The 18,282-nt window shown below is 39.3% G+C and overlaps 1 protein-coding gene across 2 annotated transcripts in view; it reads left to right on the top strand.

Moving 5' to 3' along the window:
• The first annotated feature begins 9,496 nt into the window (after window positions 1–9,496).
• Window positions 9,497–18,282, top strand: part of ASB5 (ankyrin repeat and SOCS box containing 5) — a 63,852-nt gene continuing 55,066 nt past the window's right edge. The window contains exons 1-3 of one of the 2 annotated variants that reach the window (XM_005262759.2): window positions 9,497–9,792; window positions 11,115–11,225; window positions 17,824–18,108. In XM_005262759.2, coding sequence (XP_005262816.1) covers window positions 17,913–18,108 — 196 coding nt within the window. In that variant the 5' untranslated portion in view covers window positions 9,497–9,792; window positions 11,115–11,225; window positions 17,824–17,912. Of the gene's footprint in view, window positions 9,793–11,114; window positions 11,226–17,798; window positions 18,109–18,282 lie in introns of those variants that run through there. The other variant, NM_080874.4, reaches the window with a different exon arrangement.

Here is an 18,282-nt window from a genome sequence, read left to right as displayed (position 1 = left end):
AGTTTGGCTAAACACAAACCATATGGCATCCGTTGGGCTGCCTGGGCTGTTCAGCCTCAGTGCCAATGGTGCAAAACAGAAAATGAACGTGGTTACTCCATTCGATGGGTATAATTCAGTTCCATTCTCATAACTCTGGCCAGGACAGGATGGCCCTCCCCTGGATGAAGCTATTTTTACTGATTCTTGAGCTGTTGCCAATAGCCTAGCTGTTTGGTCTGCCCCTTGGAAAACTTCATACTGGCAAATTAAAGATACTCATTTAGGGGCCACAAACTATGGAAACAAATCACAAATACCAAATGAACCATCTGGGTCACTCATGGGCCTGTAAGGGCCCATCCTGATGAGACCAGTAAGATGAAACTAACTCAAGCTGCTGACTGAATCTGCACCACTCAGTTTTCCTAGATTCATTATCACACTGAACATGGCAACATTAGACTGCTGCCATCAGAGAATGGGGACTGTGATGCAGAGGCTACCACTGCCTCATACGTGGGACTCCTATCAGAAGGTGTCTAATTTGTCTCCCATAAGTAAGGCTGCATGGTGTGGGGCATGGCCCTACATACTCTTGGCAGACTATGTCAGAGCTTTGACCCTCTCCTGGAGCTATCAGTGGTGCCTCACCGCCATTAACATTTTCTATTTGTGAAATGTTTTTTCCAATCTATCTTAGTACATTGCCCATTTTTGCTATTACAACAGAATACCACAAACTGGGTAATTTATAATGAACAGAAATTTATATCTCACAGAAATTTATATCTCCCCTCTGTGTCCTCCAGAGGGGAGAAATGCTACTTCTCATGTGGCAGAAGGTAGAAGGACCAAGAGAGGGAGCCCACTCCTGAAAGCTTTTATATTAAGGTGTTAAACCCACCAATGACAGGGAGCTCTTGGAGCCTAATCACCTTTGAAAGGCCTCACCTCCCAACCTCATTACATTGGCAATTAAATTTCAACATGAGTTTTGGGAGGGACAAACATTCAAACCATAGCACAATCCAGTCAGCTAACCATTGTGGCCCTTGAAGCTAATCTATGCCCTGTGTTCAGCTTTCTGGATTATTTTCAGTCTGACAATGGTGTGCTTTTTATCAAAGCTCCTCAGCAGTGCATGGATAGTCAAGGTACTTGACAGACCTTCCATGCTTCCACGCGTCGGATATTGTTGAGCTTTGGAACAGCTCCCTCAAAAAGTAAAAATAAAAGTAAAAAAAGACTTCTGACTTTATCTCCCTCCTCTCCTCCTGATCCACTGTGGTATGGCAGATTGGTCACTGAATGTGGCTATTTCCAAAAAAGGGACATCCACATCTGCCTCCTGGGTAATGATCAGAATGAAAGGGGTGGGGAGTGACATAGATGTGTTTTGAAAGCTGGGGATTCTGCCCTGAGCATTTCTGGGCATAATGCACCTTTCTTTTCCCATAATAGCAATCCAGGCCAACCTGGTAAGTACACCTTTCTGCTGGCAGCCAAATCAAAAAGGGCTCCTGGTGATTTAAATTTAAGCCACATGGGTTAATTTTGGGGGGGATTGGCATGTTCATAGATCATGAGGAATCCTGTAATTTGGACTTTTGTTCCCTCCAAACCTCACGTGGAAACTGATCCCCAGTGTTGGAGGTGGAGCCTAACGAGGTATTTGGGTCATAGGCTGGATTCCTTATGAATGGATTAATGCCTTCCCGGTTGCAGGGAGTGTGGGGAAAGGGGTGAGTGAGTTCTCAATCTAATAGTTCCCAGGAAAGCTGGTTGTTAAAAAGAGTCTGGCATCTCACACCCTTTTTTGCCTCCTCTCTTCTCTGCCATGAGTGGAAGCAGCCTGAGGCCCTCAGCAGAAGCAGATGCTCATGCCAGCTTCTTGCACAGTCTGTAGAACATGAGACAAATAAATCTCTTTTCTTTATAAATTACCTAGGTATTCTATTATTGCAACACAATCAGACTATGACAAGAATAATGATGACTCTTTGTGAACACTGCTTGTCAAGTCCCACTACAATGGCCCACAGAGGCTAAACTTGAAGATATAATGGGTCTCCCTGTTTTATAAAAATCCCTTTCTATCTATTGCATCAGACCCTTCTGGACAAAAGGTCTGAGTGTATGTAGTGGATAATTGGAAAAAAGGTAAAGATTGAGCTATTGGAATAGCTGCAACCTGGAAACATGAAGAGTGAACACCTTAGACCCTGGGAGGTATAGGAAGAGAGAGACATTAATGATCTTTCCCCTTCAGATCTGCCCTGAGTGCCTTCCTTATGAAGGAAAGGCCTGTTGCAGAAGAAAAAGAAAAATGGCCTGTTGCAGACTTTTCAAACCGTAGTAGGCAGCTTTCAGTTTAATAGGTCTGGCATCTCCAGCCTAAGGGCTCTAACCAAAATTTGACCACCATTCTCCTTAACCATATCATAAATTCTGTTGGAAACAGCAGGAGATGGCTCAGTTCCTGCCTCCTTGTCAATGTCTCCAGATGTCTTCTGCACTCCCCACACTGAGCCATCAAGCAGTTTTTCCATGGAGTGGGCAAATGTCACCAGCTATGGTATGGATAAACTGGACAAGTTGCACTGACTGCTCTCAGGCAGTCCCTTCCAAAATAAGGACTAGATTCAATTATAAAATTAAACTGGGAAGCCTAACGCCAATAGGAAGCCACATTAGAGGCACTGTCAACCTGTGTTCCTCCATCCCCATATAATGTACCTATCACTTAGAGTGGCCCAACAGTTCGAACAATACTTTCTGAGGACACCATGAGAATTCATGGGGTTGCACAGTTTGTGTGGAAGCCATTCATAACCTTGCCTTCCTCCTGAAAACTAAGAGGATTGTACCTAAAGAATGATTTAGAAAAATACCACCAATAGATCATGTATCCCTCAGATGACTGCAAAGATCTCTCCAAAATGAAGCTATTCTTGATTACCTGAAATTTCTCCCCAGAGCAATTTTGCATACTCCGAGGGTAATTTTTCTCATTATTTATGCATATCTGAGGGTAACTATTTCTACAATGAGAGTCCTCCAATTAGAAAGGGTGATGCAAAATTTGCCCCGAACTTTAGCTAAAGTGATCAATGAAACCTCAGCACTGGAAGGCAGGTTTGTGGGAATTTGTTTGTGGGAATTGTTCAGCTGATGGGGTCCAGAACTCTGGGAGGAATGGTTAAAATCAATACTCTAGGCTGTCCTCATCCTATTGCTTGGAGTCCTGTTAACAGTAGTCTTCATTATGTTCTGTAGAAAACAAATTGAATATATTTGATCTTAGCTTCTGTTGATCAGATTAGTCACAAAAGTTGATACATCAGTGGACATAATGGGAAAATTTATTACAAGCCAAGATGGTGTAAAAAGGAGTGAATAAGATTGGCAGACAGTTCTCCATGGGTCTCGTATGCCTGTGCTTTTTTTTGTGTGTGTGAAAAGGGGCTTGCTGCCTTTTTTATATAGGCTTATCCTTTCAAGGATATTTGTATAGCATATAGCTTGGAAGATGGAGGTAAATGTGTTTGGATCAGAGGGTGGGCTTGTTTTGTTTACCATTCAGCATAATAAGCGTAGTGATCTTCCTCCAGGGTAAAGTGTAGGTAAACTTACTGCCCACTATAAAAGATCTGGGTTCCTAAATCTTGGAGTTCCTGAACCATGACATGAAACTACTGCATGCATGGCACATACAATAGTTTCATCCCTTTGTTGTTGCCCTGTGGGCAAGAGGAACTGATGCAAACACTATACTCTTGCTGCTTGCTGTGCCATGAATAATAAAGTCCTGTGACTTGAAATAAAGTGGCTGACCTAGGAGGCTAATGTGTTTTGTTAACAGCCACAAAATTATGGCAGCCTAACTTACTAGATTACAAATAGTGTAAAGTCTCACATTCTTCACAGTTCTTGACAAGGAAGATTTTTATTGTTTATTTTTATTTTTTCTTTATTTCTTCTAAAAAAAAAAGGGAACCATGTGCAGAGCGTGCAGGTTTGTTACATAGGTATACGTGTGACATGGTGGTTTGCTGTACCCATTGACCTGTCCTCTGAGTTCCCTCCCCTCACCCCCCCCCACCCCCCAACAGGCCCTGGTGTGTGTTGTTTCCCACTCTGTGTTCATGTGTTCTCAATGTTCAACTCCCACTTGTGAGTGAGAACATGTGGTGTTTGGTTTTCTGTTCCTGTGTTAGTTTGCTGAGGATGATCACTTCCAGCTTCATCCATGTCTCTGTAATGGACGTAATTTCATTCCTTTTTATGGCTGCATAGTATTCCATGGTGTATATGTACCACATTTTCTTTATCCAGGCTATCATTGATGGGTATTTGGGTTGGAGTGGATCACCTGTGGTCAGGAGTTCAAGAACAGCCTGACCAACATGGTGAAACCCTGTCTCTACAAATACAAAAAATTAGCTGGGTGTGGTGGCAGGCACCTGTAATCCCAGCTATTTGGGAGGATGGTGCAGGAGAATCACTTGAACCCTAACCTTCTCTCCGTGGGTCATGCCAGCCTTCTAGTCAATTTTGATGAGAGAACCTGGATACCTTGGTTGCCAGTGAAGGCTTCACACATTTATTATGCCTTGTTTTTTCTTTTTCTATAGGAGCCCCCCACGGCCTCTGCTTCTAGTTGGCCATCTTGGCCCCGCCTCCTCAGCATATATCAGATTTTTATTTTTTATTTATTTATTTATTTTTGAGACGGAGTCTTGCTCTGTCACCCAGGCTACAGTGCAGTGACACTGTCTCGACTCACTGCAACCTCTGCCTCCCGGGTTCAAGCGATTCTTCTGACTCAGCCTCCCGGGTAGCTGGGATTACAGGCACCCACCACTGTGCCTGGCTAATTTTTGTATTTTTAGTAGAGATGGCATTTCACCATCTTGGCCAGGCTGGTCTCGAACTCCTGACCTCGTGATCCACCCACCTCGGCCTCCCAAAGTGCTGGGATTACAGGCATGAGCCACTGCCCCCAGCCCAGATTTTTATTTTTATTTTTTTATTTATTTATTATTGAGATGGAGTCTCGCTCTTTCACCAGGCTGGAGTGCAGTGGCACGATCTCGACTCACTGCAACCTCTGCCTTCTGGATTCAAGTGATTATTCTGCCTCAAACTCCGGAGTAGCTCCAACTACAGGTAAGCACCACCATGCCCAGCTAATTTTTGTATTTTCTTTTTTTAGTAAAGAAGGGGTTTCACCATGTTGGCCAGAAAGGTCTCAATCTCTTGACCTCATGATCCACCCGCCTTGGCCTCCCAAAGTGCTGGGATTACAGGCCTGAGCCACCACACCTGGCCCAGATTTTTATTTTTAATTAGCTTGCTTGGGAGTCATTGGGCTTCTTCAATGTGTGGATTGATAGCTTTCATTAGATTTGCAAAATTCTCAGCCATTACATTTGCAAATTTTGCTGTTGGCCATTTTTTAAATCTATGACCTCTATTAAATATATGTTAGGTTTTCTAATTATATCCTCAATTCCTCCTGTTCTTGCTTCCGTCTCTTTCATCTTGGGTAGTTTCTCCTGACATCTTCAGAGGTGCTAACTATGAGTTACATCTATCTGCTGATGATACACCCAACCATTGAGTTACTAATTTTAGACACTATGTTTTCTAGTTCTAGGGTTTCTCTTTTTCTTTTCATTTTCATTTTTTTCTTTTGCTTTAAATCTGTGATGTTCTTTTTAAAGATTCCACTTTTCTGCTGAAATGTTAAAATTTGACTTCTATCTTTGTGAGCTTAATAAAATACTAAATAAATTTATCTTCACTATCTGAAATACCTATGGGTCTATATCTGTTTGTGCTAGTTCTCATTCATATTGATGTGTCTTTCTGTGTGTTTCCTTATTATTTTTGAATGAATCCTAACCCTGTTTGAAAAACATGTATAGAAAAATTTAGGCCCTAGAACATTACCTTCCTCCAGAGAGCATTGTTTCTTTTTGTTAGGTGCCTATGGGCACTAGCAATCTTGAATCACCTTAATCCAATTTCAAGGATTAAAATTTTATTGCCCATGCAGACATTGAAGGGGCTCATGTACTTCTGGCTTACTCATTCTTACTGCTAGATTTCAGCTCTTCTGGATGTCAAGTCTAAGTGTTCAGCATTCCATTTGCTATGGTCCTCAATCTTGGTAGGCCTGTTTCTTCAACTTTTATTTCCGCTTTCCTGAAGAGACTGTATGAGGATTGCTTTATCTCCCTGCCATCTCTTCCTCATAGCAAATGTTCCTGGAGCAAAAGTGGTCTCAGCAAAAACAAGCAATGGGAAAAGGATTCCCTATTTAATAAACGGTGCTGGGAAAACTGGCTAGCCATATGCAGAAAACTGAAATTGGACCCCTTCCTTTATTTATCTTTGCAATATAGTTTTTATTTAATTGCAGTATAATTTACACAGTGTAGAATTGCACACATCTTAAATAAAAATTAACTCAAGATGGATTAAAGACTTAAATGTAAAGCCCAAAACCATAAAAACCCTAGAAGAAAACCTAGGCAATACCATTCAGGACATGGGCATGGGCAAAGTCTTCATGACAAAAACGCCAAAAGCAATGGCAACAAAAGCCAAAATTGACAAATGGGATCTAATTAGAATAAAGAGCTTCTGCACAGCAAAAGAAACTATCATCAAAGTGAACAGGCAACCTACAGAAAGGGGGAAAATTTTTGCAATCTACTCATCTGACAAAGGTCTAGTATCCAGAATTTACAAGGAACTTAAACATATTCACAAGAAAAAAACAACCCCATCAAAAAGGAGGCAAGGGATATGAACAGACATTTCTTAAAAGAAGACATTTATGCGGCCAACAAACATATGAAAAAAGTTCAACATCACTGATCATTAGAGAAATACAAATCAAAACCACAATGAGATACCATCTCACACTAGTCAGAATGGTGATTATTAAAAAGTCAAGAAATAATAGATGCTGGTGAGGCTGCAGAGAAATAGGAACACTTTTACACTTTTGGTGGAAATTTAAATTAGTTCAACCATTGTGGAAGACAGTGTGGTGATTCCTCAAGGATCTAGAACCAGAAATACCATTTGACCCAGCAATCCCATTACTGGGTGTATACCCAAAGGAATATAAATCATTCTACTATAAAGAACATGCACATGGATGTTTATTGCAGCACTATTTACAATAGCAAAGACTTGGAACCAACCCAAATGCCCATCAATGATAGACTGGATAAGGAAAATGTGGTACACATATGCCATGGAATACTATACAGCCATAAAAAGGAATGAGATAATGTCCTTTGCAGGGCCATGGTTGAAGCTGGAAGCATCATCCTCAGCAAATGAACACAGGAACAGAAAACCAAACACCTCATGTTCTCACTCATAAGTGGGAGTTGAACAATGTGAACACATGGACACAGGGAGGGGAATATCACACACCGGGGCCAGTGGGGGGTTGGAGGGTGAGGGAGCAAGAGCATTAGGACAAATAGCTAATGCATGTGGGACCTAAAACCTAGATGATGGGTTGATAGGTGCAGCAAACCACAATGGCACACGTATACTTATGTAAAACAAACCTACACGTTCTACACTTGTATCCCAGAACTTAAAATAAAATAAATAATAATAATAAAAATAAAAAAGTAAAATAAAAAGGCACCTGAAAAAAAAAGTGGTCCCAGAGTCCATGCTCTCCTCTTTGGATTTTCTATTTGTCCTGGATTCTTGGTCTGATGCTTTCTCATTTTCTTTATAGCTTTTAGATGCAACTAGAAGCATGGTTTAATGTTTCATCTAGAAATCATTGTCTCCAATGGGAGGTTTGTTCTGAATTAACTAGCCTGCCGTTACCAGAACTGAAGATTTATTTATCTTTGCAATATAGTTTTTATTTAATTGCAGTATAATTTACACAGTGTAGAATTGCACACATCTTAAATAAAAATTTGTTGAGGGTTTTTTCCCCCAAATGTGTATTCCCATGTTACCATCACTGAAAGACAGATGATGTTCCAATATTCCTGGAAAGTTACCACATTTCCTCTTCTAGTCAAATCTCCAACTCATCCTATCCCCCGCAGCAATGTCCTTTAATTTCAATAGTCATATATTTATGTTGTTGACTTTAAACTTCATATAAAATAAATCATATAACGTACTCTTGCTCAAAGTAAGTTTTTGAGATTCATCTACATTTTGCACATATTCGTAGCTTATTCCTTTTATTGTTCTACTGTATTATGTTATGTAAATGTACCAGAGTTAGTTTGTTTCCTCTTGATGAAAATTTGAGTTGTTTTCAGTTTTGGTTAATATGAATATATCTTTTATGAACATGCTCAGGATTCCTTTGAATTTTAATTTCTTGTGGGTAATGAGAGGCCATTCATATTTAAACTTAGGATATAGCTATGTTATTGGAGTTTCTTACACCAAGCTACGTACCAGGCTTCATCTTCCAACTTGGTCTTCAACAGTTGGTTTTACTTGTCATATATTTTGTTATTTCAAAACTTATTTATTTAACAAATTTTTATAAAGCACTTAGTATGTGCTAGACATTATTCCAAATACTTTTAAGTACTGACATATTTAATATTTAATCATTCTGACAACCTATTGAGATAGTTATTATTAGTATTCGCATTTTACGAATTATGAAATGGAGGCATAGAAAGGTTAATTAACTTCCCGAGGTCACAGGAGGAAAAGTAGGAGAGTTAAGATTCAAACCAAGGTGCTCCTCCTCCAGAGGCAATGCTGCCTTTCTAGAGATGTTCATATGTGGCAAGGAATGCCTCCAACATAATCTCATATAACCTTAGAATAAACGACCAGGCCCCTTTCATATGCTGCAAATGTTCTTTACAGTAAACCATTGCACAAAAATTAGGTACATATAAAATGTGCTCATTTGAGTAGCAAGGTTGGTAAACTGAAGAGACTCTCCACAAGTCAAATATGGGCAAAGCGTGCTTACCTGTCGACCCCATTCGGTTCCTCATGAATGTTTCCTCACTTGTTCGGGGAGCGAGTTTTCATTCTCTCCATGTATGAGTTGCCAAATTCATGTGATAAATATGCAAGAGGCTGAAGAGTTCAGTCCCTTCAGTGTTCTTGTGCAGTCTGCCTTCCCTTGCCATTCACAAAAAAAATCTGATCTTGGTTTCATGGACCTCAGTATAATGATATTCATCTTTGTTGGTCTTTGCAAAACACTGCCAAAGCCCATTACTGCCTTTGGTGATATTACAGACAGAGGCCAGGCGGGGGAGCTCCCCAAAGGACTCTACATAGAAAGTGTGACCAAGCCAAGCTCGGAGGCAGTTACCATAAAAAAAAAAAAAAAAAAAAAAAAATGAAGCCAGAATGTAACTGGAAAGCAAAATAGAGGCTTGAGAATTGTCCAAGTGAGAAAGACAAGGAGAGAATATAAACATTAAACTAATGCTGAGGTTGGTGGACAAATAAAGGCTTCACTCGACTTTTTATTGATTTGACATTCTGGTACTAGATAAAGGAAAGAGCAAAACAAAGTGCAGGATCGAGAGAAAATCGATTGCTTGAAAAACTGGGTATTTTACTTGCTGCAAGTCCCGACTGTGTCAGCTGATGAGTTTAACACTATGACAGCACAGTCCTCACCTGCCTGCTCGCTGCTGTAATCCCCACACTGTTGTGTGCCCTATAGCACCTGGCACACGGGAAGCGCTCAAGAGATGTGTGTGAATGAAGGAGCCACATCTTGACTTGCGACGCGGAGCAGTAAGCTGCAGTTATTTGGTAGCGGTAAGCTGGAGTTTGAAAAATTACTCTGGGGCAGGTTTGTTTACTGTTTTTGAAAAGGATAAAATCAGGGGCTCACCAGTTGCGGGGCTGCCTTTAAAAGGAAATTAAAAATGCAGGGCATATTCTCATACACCCTTCCAATGGGCCTGTAACATAACTATTTTCCTGTTTTCATCGTTGAGAAAACAGGCTCAGAGGGATTAAGGAACTTGCCTGAGTTCACACGGCTCATAACTAGAGCAACTAGTTCTTCTGAAGACCTTGCCCTGCCTGCCTACCACTTTCTGCTGACTTATCCTGATTTTCCTGGGACATACAGCATGTCAGCTGCTAGATGCTCATCAGAGCAAATGTCGAGGCTTTAAGGTGGCCGTGTACTTTTTGTTGTCTTCATTTCCCTACTGGTACAACTTCAGTTAATTCACGGGTTGCGTTAGGGTTACGGTAATATACAACAAGATGTATTTGCTGTTACTATTCTTATTATCATTGCCACGATCACATCTTCAGGTAAGAGTTCCCAGTTCCAGAGCCTTGATTTCTTAAATCAGGAGCCATGGATGCCAGTGTGGGATATGTTTTATTTCTAAAACCCAAAATATCTGCTGTCTTCCCAGGATATATCAAACTATTGAGTGACTTTGTTATGGAGCCTGGGAAGATGAAATTACTCAGAATATTTGTGATGTGTACATTTCTTAAGAAGTTACAGCTATCTTTCATACCATGGAGCAAAAAATACATCATTTGTTTTATATATAACATTGGTTATGAATTCTGATTATAGAAATGGATATATTTCCTAACACCAGAGGGGGGCTGATTGATTTCCTTTATATAGTTACATGTCTACAGTAGGCAGTGAGTATGGTACTATTGGAAGTTGGACATTTCACTAGACAAGCACACAGTAAAATTTCAGTGCCTGGCATGCAACAGATTCTAATTTAACTTAAATAACAAAGTAAAAGTAATAATTACAATGTAGCTAATATTTGTTGAGCTCTTACAGTGCAGGCGAGTGAGTGCTTCATATGAATTATTGCATTTAAACCTCCCAACATGTGAAGTAGATACTTTTATCATGGAACTCTTTACAGGTAAGGAAGTGGAGGTGCAGGGAGGGTTACCAGATCGTCCAAGATTACACATCTATGGTAGAGGCAATACTTGAACTTAGTTTATGTTTTACTACACTGGGTAAGATATTTGAAATTAGAGCAAGGTTGAATATGTAGTATCCTTTTCACATATTATTTTATCCCATTAAGCTTAACAAGGAAAAGATGAAGCCCAGCTCATTTTCTGTCTTCTATACACAGGTGGAAGAATAAATTCTACCTCCTGCTTGCCTCGCTGCAGTGGGGATGAGGGAGAGGGGACTCAGCCAGATGCTGAATTCCCCAGACAGCTGACAGGTTCCCAATTTCCAGGTTTGTATTATTGCCTGCAAGTATGAAGATGGGAATATTACCAGCTAGTGCATGACTAGTGCTTATCTTCCTTCCTCCAGGATAGAAGCACCAGAGGCTAGCAGGGACTAGCCAGAGGCTGAGTGGTGGTCACCAGAGTGACTCCTGCAGCCCCAGCAGACATGTGCTGAGGCTCCCCTTTGCTCATATTCTATGGGATCGTAGGGAGCTGGGAGATGGAAGCAGGAAGAGTACTAAGTTGACTGTGTAAACTGCTGGAGAAAGGTGAACTATGTACTAGTATTGCTCATGTTATATAAAAAGTATTAAATTTATAAGTCTAATAAGAACATGTTTAAAATATAATTTTTTTCTCTAAAATTCATAACTGGAGTTAAAATAGATTTGAAATGCATGCACACAAGGCAGTACTTATGTTGTTAAAGAAACTATAATCTTAGAATCCTAAACAGGGTCCTCCTAGACCCCAATTTTATTAGCCAATTGGCCATGTTCCAGGGTAAATCATATATTTTACCTCAAGAAATGATCATTATTAATTCATACACGTGTATAAGAATGCTGATCAAATTGCTATGCAGGGCCTGATGCGGAGGCTTATGCCTGTAATCCCAGCACTTTGGGAGGCCGAGACGGGCGGATCACCTGAGGTCAGGAGTTCAAGACCAGCCTGGCCAACATGGTGAAACCCTGTCTCTACTAAAAAATACAAAATTAGCCAGGCATGGTGGCATGCGCCTGTAATCCCAGGTACTCAGGAGGCTGAGGCAGGAGAATCGCTTGAACCTGGGAGATGGAGGCTGCAGTGAGCCCAGATAGTGCCACTGCACTCCAGCCTGGGCGACAGAGTAAGACTCCATCTCAAAAAAAAAAAAAAAAAAAAAAATTGCTATGCTGGAAGTACTGGAAAGATCACTGTGGTATCATTTCACTTCTAATGTAGTCCCATGCTTTGGATCTTCAAAATGATGTCATTGAAAGGTTTCCCTTTCAATAGTCTTTCAAATATGTGGTTAGTTAAAATGAGATGGTTAGAACAAATTCTTAATCATAGAAGATTTGGGTGAGGCACATCAGCTTTGGCCCAGTGACATACTCCACTATTTAGCCAAAGGCTATTTATAACCCACACAGGGCACAAATGTACACTGTAGATCACAGGGTGTGGCTACCTCAGAGGACAGTGGTTAAACCAGGCAATTATCCATGTTTCAACACTAACATCTGAATAATAACCTGAGAGGCACTGCAGGGCAAAAAACCTGGGTGGGAATCTCAGTACTTCCACTTCAAGATGTATAATCTTGTGCAAATTCCTTACCTTCTTTCAGTCTCTGTTTCTTCATCTGTTGTACAGAAGGGATAATGATACCCGCTTCATAATTTCTCTTTACAAGGACTCCAGAAAATATAAATATATCAGGGGTTTTTTTTCCGTACAAGTGAGAGAAGCCCTCAATTCAAATTGATTTGATTAACAACAGCAAAAATGACTTTATTACTTCATATTACTGTCAAATCTATATTACTGTCAGATCAGCTACTTCAGGTGCAACTAACTAGATCCAGGTGCTCCAATGAAGGTACCGTGATGCTGCCTTTTCAAATCTCAGCTGTGCATTTCTTTTTATTGGCTGAATTCCTAGGCGAGCTATTTCTTTACTGTCAGTTATACCTCCAGCATCTTTAAGCTTAGATCTTGCTATCTTAGCCTCCCCCTGCAGAGGAAGAGCACTTTTTCCAAAACTCCAGCAGAAGTCCCAGAAATATCTTTCTTGGCTAGTTTTGGTCAAGTAACCTTCTCGAGAGCCGGGAGATAAGTACATGGACTTAGGTTGGGCAAGATACGATCCATTAAAGAAATGCTGGGTTTATAAGAAAACAAAAAACCAAATTCCTAACATTTCATTCTAATAAACTGTGTAGAAAATTTCTTGGCATATAGCAAGAATTTTAATGGTTTTAAGAAATCTATTTTTTAAACTCTTATATATGCAGAACTACCAGCTTTCAGCCAAGTTTTTCTGGACAACATATATATACGAATAGAGCTCATTTAACCTAAAGCAATTTCTAGTTAGGGCAGATCTCAATATGTGATGTTTGATGTAACTCAATTTTTAGGAGAAAGGCTGTTCTGTGTTCTGGGGAAAGCTAGTGATTTTCTCCAAAGAACCTGGATGCAGTCTAAGTTAATGACCCTTTTTGTGGCTAAATATCTTTTTGATGGATTATCACAATGCTAGCAGAAATTACTCTTTTGTTCCATCATACTGGTAGTATGGCAAGAGACCAAATGAACATCTAAGGGTTCCATTTGCCTTTATTTTTTTTTCTCACGAGATTTCACAAAACAAAAAAAATGAGGATTATGTTTTCAGTAGTGTTTTAAATGCAATAGTGAATATATTACCGTGACAACTTGCATACTTTTTTCTCTTTCCCTTTATCAGCCATCATTGGCCTTCAAATTTATGGGTATATGACTTTTCTTAGTTTGTATTCACTGTATACAAATAATCCTCAACAACCCTGTTCTAGGGCTAGGAACATGTCGCCATTATGCTGAACATTAGCAACCTTGCTGTTTGAATGTATCCCTGTGGTTTTGTTTTTTGGAATATTAGGAATAAAAAAAGTCAATTAGAGCCTTTAGATGTCTACCAGACATTTTTTTAAAGGGCTGGGCACAGTGGCTCATGCCTGTAGTCCCAGCTACTACAGTGGCTGAGGTGGGAGGACTGCTTGAGCCTGGGAGGTCGAGGCTGCAGTGAGCTGTCATCATGACACTGCACTCTCCAGCCTGGGTGACAGAGCAAGACCCTGTCTCAAGAAAAAAAAAAAAAAAAAAAAAGGTCATCGAAGGTGGGTCACTATATTTCCCTCCTGTTAAGATTTAGCAACTGGAAAGCACTAGAAACACGCAATTTTTATTATAACCCATTGATATTTTCAATCTAATAGCTTGGATCAATACTGTAGCTAAGTCAAAACAGTTTAGCCCCATAATCTCTAGATGCAAAATTCCCTCTTTTATGAGAATTTAAAGGCTAATCTGGTTATATTTGAAAGTCATTTTCATATTCAACTTCTGAGTGACATGAAGCAAAGTCCCTAAAACACAGCAACAATTCGTGTAGTACTCTGGGACACTGAAGGAGAAGAGTGAGCAAGAGACTCGAAAGGAGGAAGGTGGGGAGTCCTAGGGGTCGGCTGTACAGTCTGTCCTCTGATACCTGCATGGAGGTGAGAAAAAGAGGCAGTTCCTAAAAAGGTGACAGCAGGAGGAAAGCCAGGGAGCGTTTCTTCTTGAGGAGCTGCTGTAAGGATCATCCCCTGAACACTGATGTCCTGATTCCCACTCCATTATTTTATTAAAATACTGAGTTGAAGGTCATCAGTGAACTTCTTCTGGCCAGACTCAACATCCTTTCCTTTATCCTCATCCTTTTGTTAGGTTGGTGAAAAAATAACTGCGATTTTTGCCATTAAAAGCAGTTGCAAAAACCGCAATTACTTTTACACCAACCTAATAGTTCTTAATCACTGGACCCTACCTTGAACGCTCAATGTTTTTTAATGTACTAACTCTCAACTACCTTACTTGACTTTCTGTTGTTTTAGTGGAAACCACTCACCAACACTTAGCTTTGAATAGTCCAACAGTATTAGCCCCTCTTTCTTTATTCCCACTTAGTAAGCGCACATAAAGTTCCATCTTATTTAATCATTGTAGCATGTATGCAGCTTACTGGAGTAATTTAGGTTCCTGATTACATATAATCTTGTATGATCTCTTCTGTGTGTGTCGTGGGTGGGGGCAGTATGTGTATGTGTCTGTGAATCTGTGTGACTCTGTCTCAATCTCTGTATGTATGAGTCGTATTTGCTCAATCAGATTGTAAGTGCTTAAAAATAGAAAATTTTAGAGGCAACTTGAGCATGTATTTTAGTTAGAACTATGTTCAAATAGTGTTGTTCTTTATAATTAACTTTTATAGGTCTCTAAAGCTCTCTGAGCCCAACTTTTCTCATTTTTAAAATGTGAATAATAATATTCACCCCCCTAAGATGAAATAAATTCATAAATAAATAAATATATGCATGTAGCATCCAACGTACCCTCAATAAATGATTTTTCCTATGTTTTAACTTTTCTCACATCATTCATTCTAGTACTACAATGTTGAGTTCAGTTTCAACACTTTAGTTTGACTGATTGATCGAAGCTAACAAAATTAGGAAAGTTGAGATATACTGAGCTAATCAACTAGACCTTGCTACCACAGTCTCTCAACATGGTATATTATAAAAACATTTATCTCAGTAAGTCACTTCAATGACTAATCAATATTTTATTTTCCTGACGAAATGAAAATGCCAGGAAAATAGATGCACAATACTTTTAATGTGGTTATGTGTCTTTTAAGTATTAACAGAGTTGTTCATAGTGTTATTTGGAAGCGTTTATAATATGAAAAATACAGCATCTAATTTCCACTTGAAGAATTCGTATGCTATGAGTCATTTTATTTGGGCTTAATTTTTATTTAGTAATTAGCAGACTCAGAGAGGGTGAAATTTGCTGAGGGAGAGTATACCAACAGAACATACAAATGGGAATCAAGTAATTCATAAAAACAAAACCTGATATCTTGACATAAAATCCTAAATATTATACTGTAGTTTTTTGTATTAGTAAAACTAGAAGGATTTAAACTTAATGCACCGATGATTCCAGCCTTAGTGAAATGAAAATGTTTCTTAACCCCAAAGAATCCAGGCTCCTGATTAGCTCATGCGAAGACAATTATTTATGATAGCACTTACTGGTAAAGAGAAAGGACTGAAACCTTAGATGGGCACTTAGACGTGACTAAGGCAGGTTTTATTTCTGATCCCGAAGCACTGAAGAGGAAGTCTGCAGTGACTCAGAGCACTGTGATGGCCCAGCTGTCCACGGGCATACCTCTCTAGTGTGGAGTCAGGCATCATCATGCCAGAGGGAAGACTCACCATAGAAGAATCAGCATGTATTGACTCAACTGACACAGTCTTACCAGTAGTGAAAGAGAGGAACATTTTGTTAATCTTCTATTTGAAGTTAATTTTCACTGACTCCCAAAGCACATATGAAATGGCACACTGGGTCTAATTAATGTCTGCCTAGCCAGTATTCTGCCTCTGAAAATGATACCAGGGGCCATTTTCATAAGAAGCTTGGTAATTTCTTTCTAATATATAGATCTAATTATTATTATTATTATTTTCTGAGAGCCATTCATTCATTGGGGAAAGAAGCAGCCTGCTTTATTTGACATATTTATTTTACAGCCATTTCTCCTGTGTTGGAATGTGTCAGGTAAATCTGTCCAGTCAGTTAAGATACTCAGCATAAAATGGATACACCGAGGGAGAGAAGCACACAACACTTACTAGTATGACCAGTCATGGGTATGCTCCTTATTCCAAGAATGGCCACTTCTATTTTCTTATGTTTGTTTTTTGTTATTTTGGAACTTCTCAAATGAATTAGGAAGCAAGTACCACAATCAACAGGCCCCAAACCCAGTCATAGAAATATGTAACTAAGCTCCCTGTAAGAAATGATATTTTGTATTTTGGCATATCATTTTTGGCTTAAATGCCAAAATATTGCTGCTGTATGTCATTTTCTTAATAATTTATTCTATTTCTCTTTTAAAATATAAGTTGCCTAAGGATACCTATATACAGATGCATTTCATTAATGAATAAAACATATTTGGGTTAACAAAGATTATAGGCCTAAAATGTATATTGTTTTCCTTGGTTTTGGACAGTCTTGATGAAATGCGTATGTTTACTTGATAATTCTTTTGGATATGTCTTTTCTGACACCTCCCTCCCAGGTTTACATGCTTCCTCTTTGTGCTCCCTTAATACCTGTTTTTACCTTCTTTATATTTACCTGATTTCTTTTCCATTTCCTCCACTAGACTCTAAGTTCCTTGTGGCAGGGACCATTCTACTTGTCTTTGTCACTTCAAAATCTAGCAAAGGGTTTGACACATACCAAGTTCTTAAAAAGTGTCCATTGGATGAAGGAACCGTGTTAAGTTATTAATCTGTGATGTTCCAGTGTAATGACTTGTAAGAAAAATGTTTTTTTAAATCAGTAAAAATAACATAATTGGTTAATTTGATGAGTAGTCATTAAAATACAAGCCATGGACTGTGTACTGATTTAGCTCATGGTCTACAAATAGTACAGTGCCATTTTAAAGCCTTAAATGATAGACAACTTTACTCGATATGAATATCATTTACATTAACAATGGGAACCCCATACACTGTCTTCAAATTGTTCTTGATAACTAAATATATAAAATGGAAAGGATATGCATATATATTTCAATATCTGGATTTTGAAATTTGGAGCACAGAGGTGGAGTGTCATTTTATATTGAGAATGGAAAGTCAGGAGACTTGTGACACGTGATGCAATTGCTTCCATGGAATATTTTCAGACCAATAGGAGTTTGCGAAGAACTTTTATGGAGTGTATAAATATTTTGAGCTGTAGGCATCACTACCAGCTGATATTTTCTTTCCTCAGGACCAGCTGTTCAGGAGCATCCCGGACGAGAGCCAGGCACATTTGAGACTTGGATCCAACTAAAGACCGCCGCAGATTCTTCTGCAGCAATGTCGGTGTTAGAAGAAAATCGGCCGTTTGCTCAACAATTATCCAATGTCTACTTTACAATACTTTCGCTGTTCTGTTTTAAGCTTTTTGTGAAAATCAGCCTTGCCATCCTCAGTCATTTCTACATAGTGAAAGGCAACCGCAAGGAAGCGGCAAGGATAGCAGCTGAATTTTATGGAGTAACCCAAGGACAAGGTATGTTTATGATAATCCTCTCTTGTTTCAAGTGGAGTTTAACTTTCATCTGATCCACAATTACATGTTTTCTTTTTAGACTGCTTCAAGGTAAATATTTTATAAACTTTTGTTAAGGGAAATACTTGTAACTCACTTCGTGGCTTTATAAAAAGGAAAATTACTTTTTTAATG

This window comes from Homo sapiens, chromosome 4, assembly GCF_000001405.40.
Source record: "Homo sapiens chromosome 4, GRCh38.p14 Primary Assembly".
NCBI lineage: Eukaryota > Metazoa > Chordata > Mammalia > Primates > Hominidae > Homo > Homo sapiens.
This window is presented reverse-complemented; position numbering and strand designations above follow the sequence as displayed.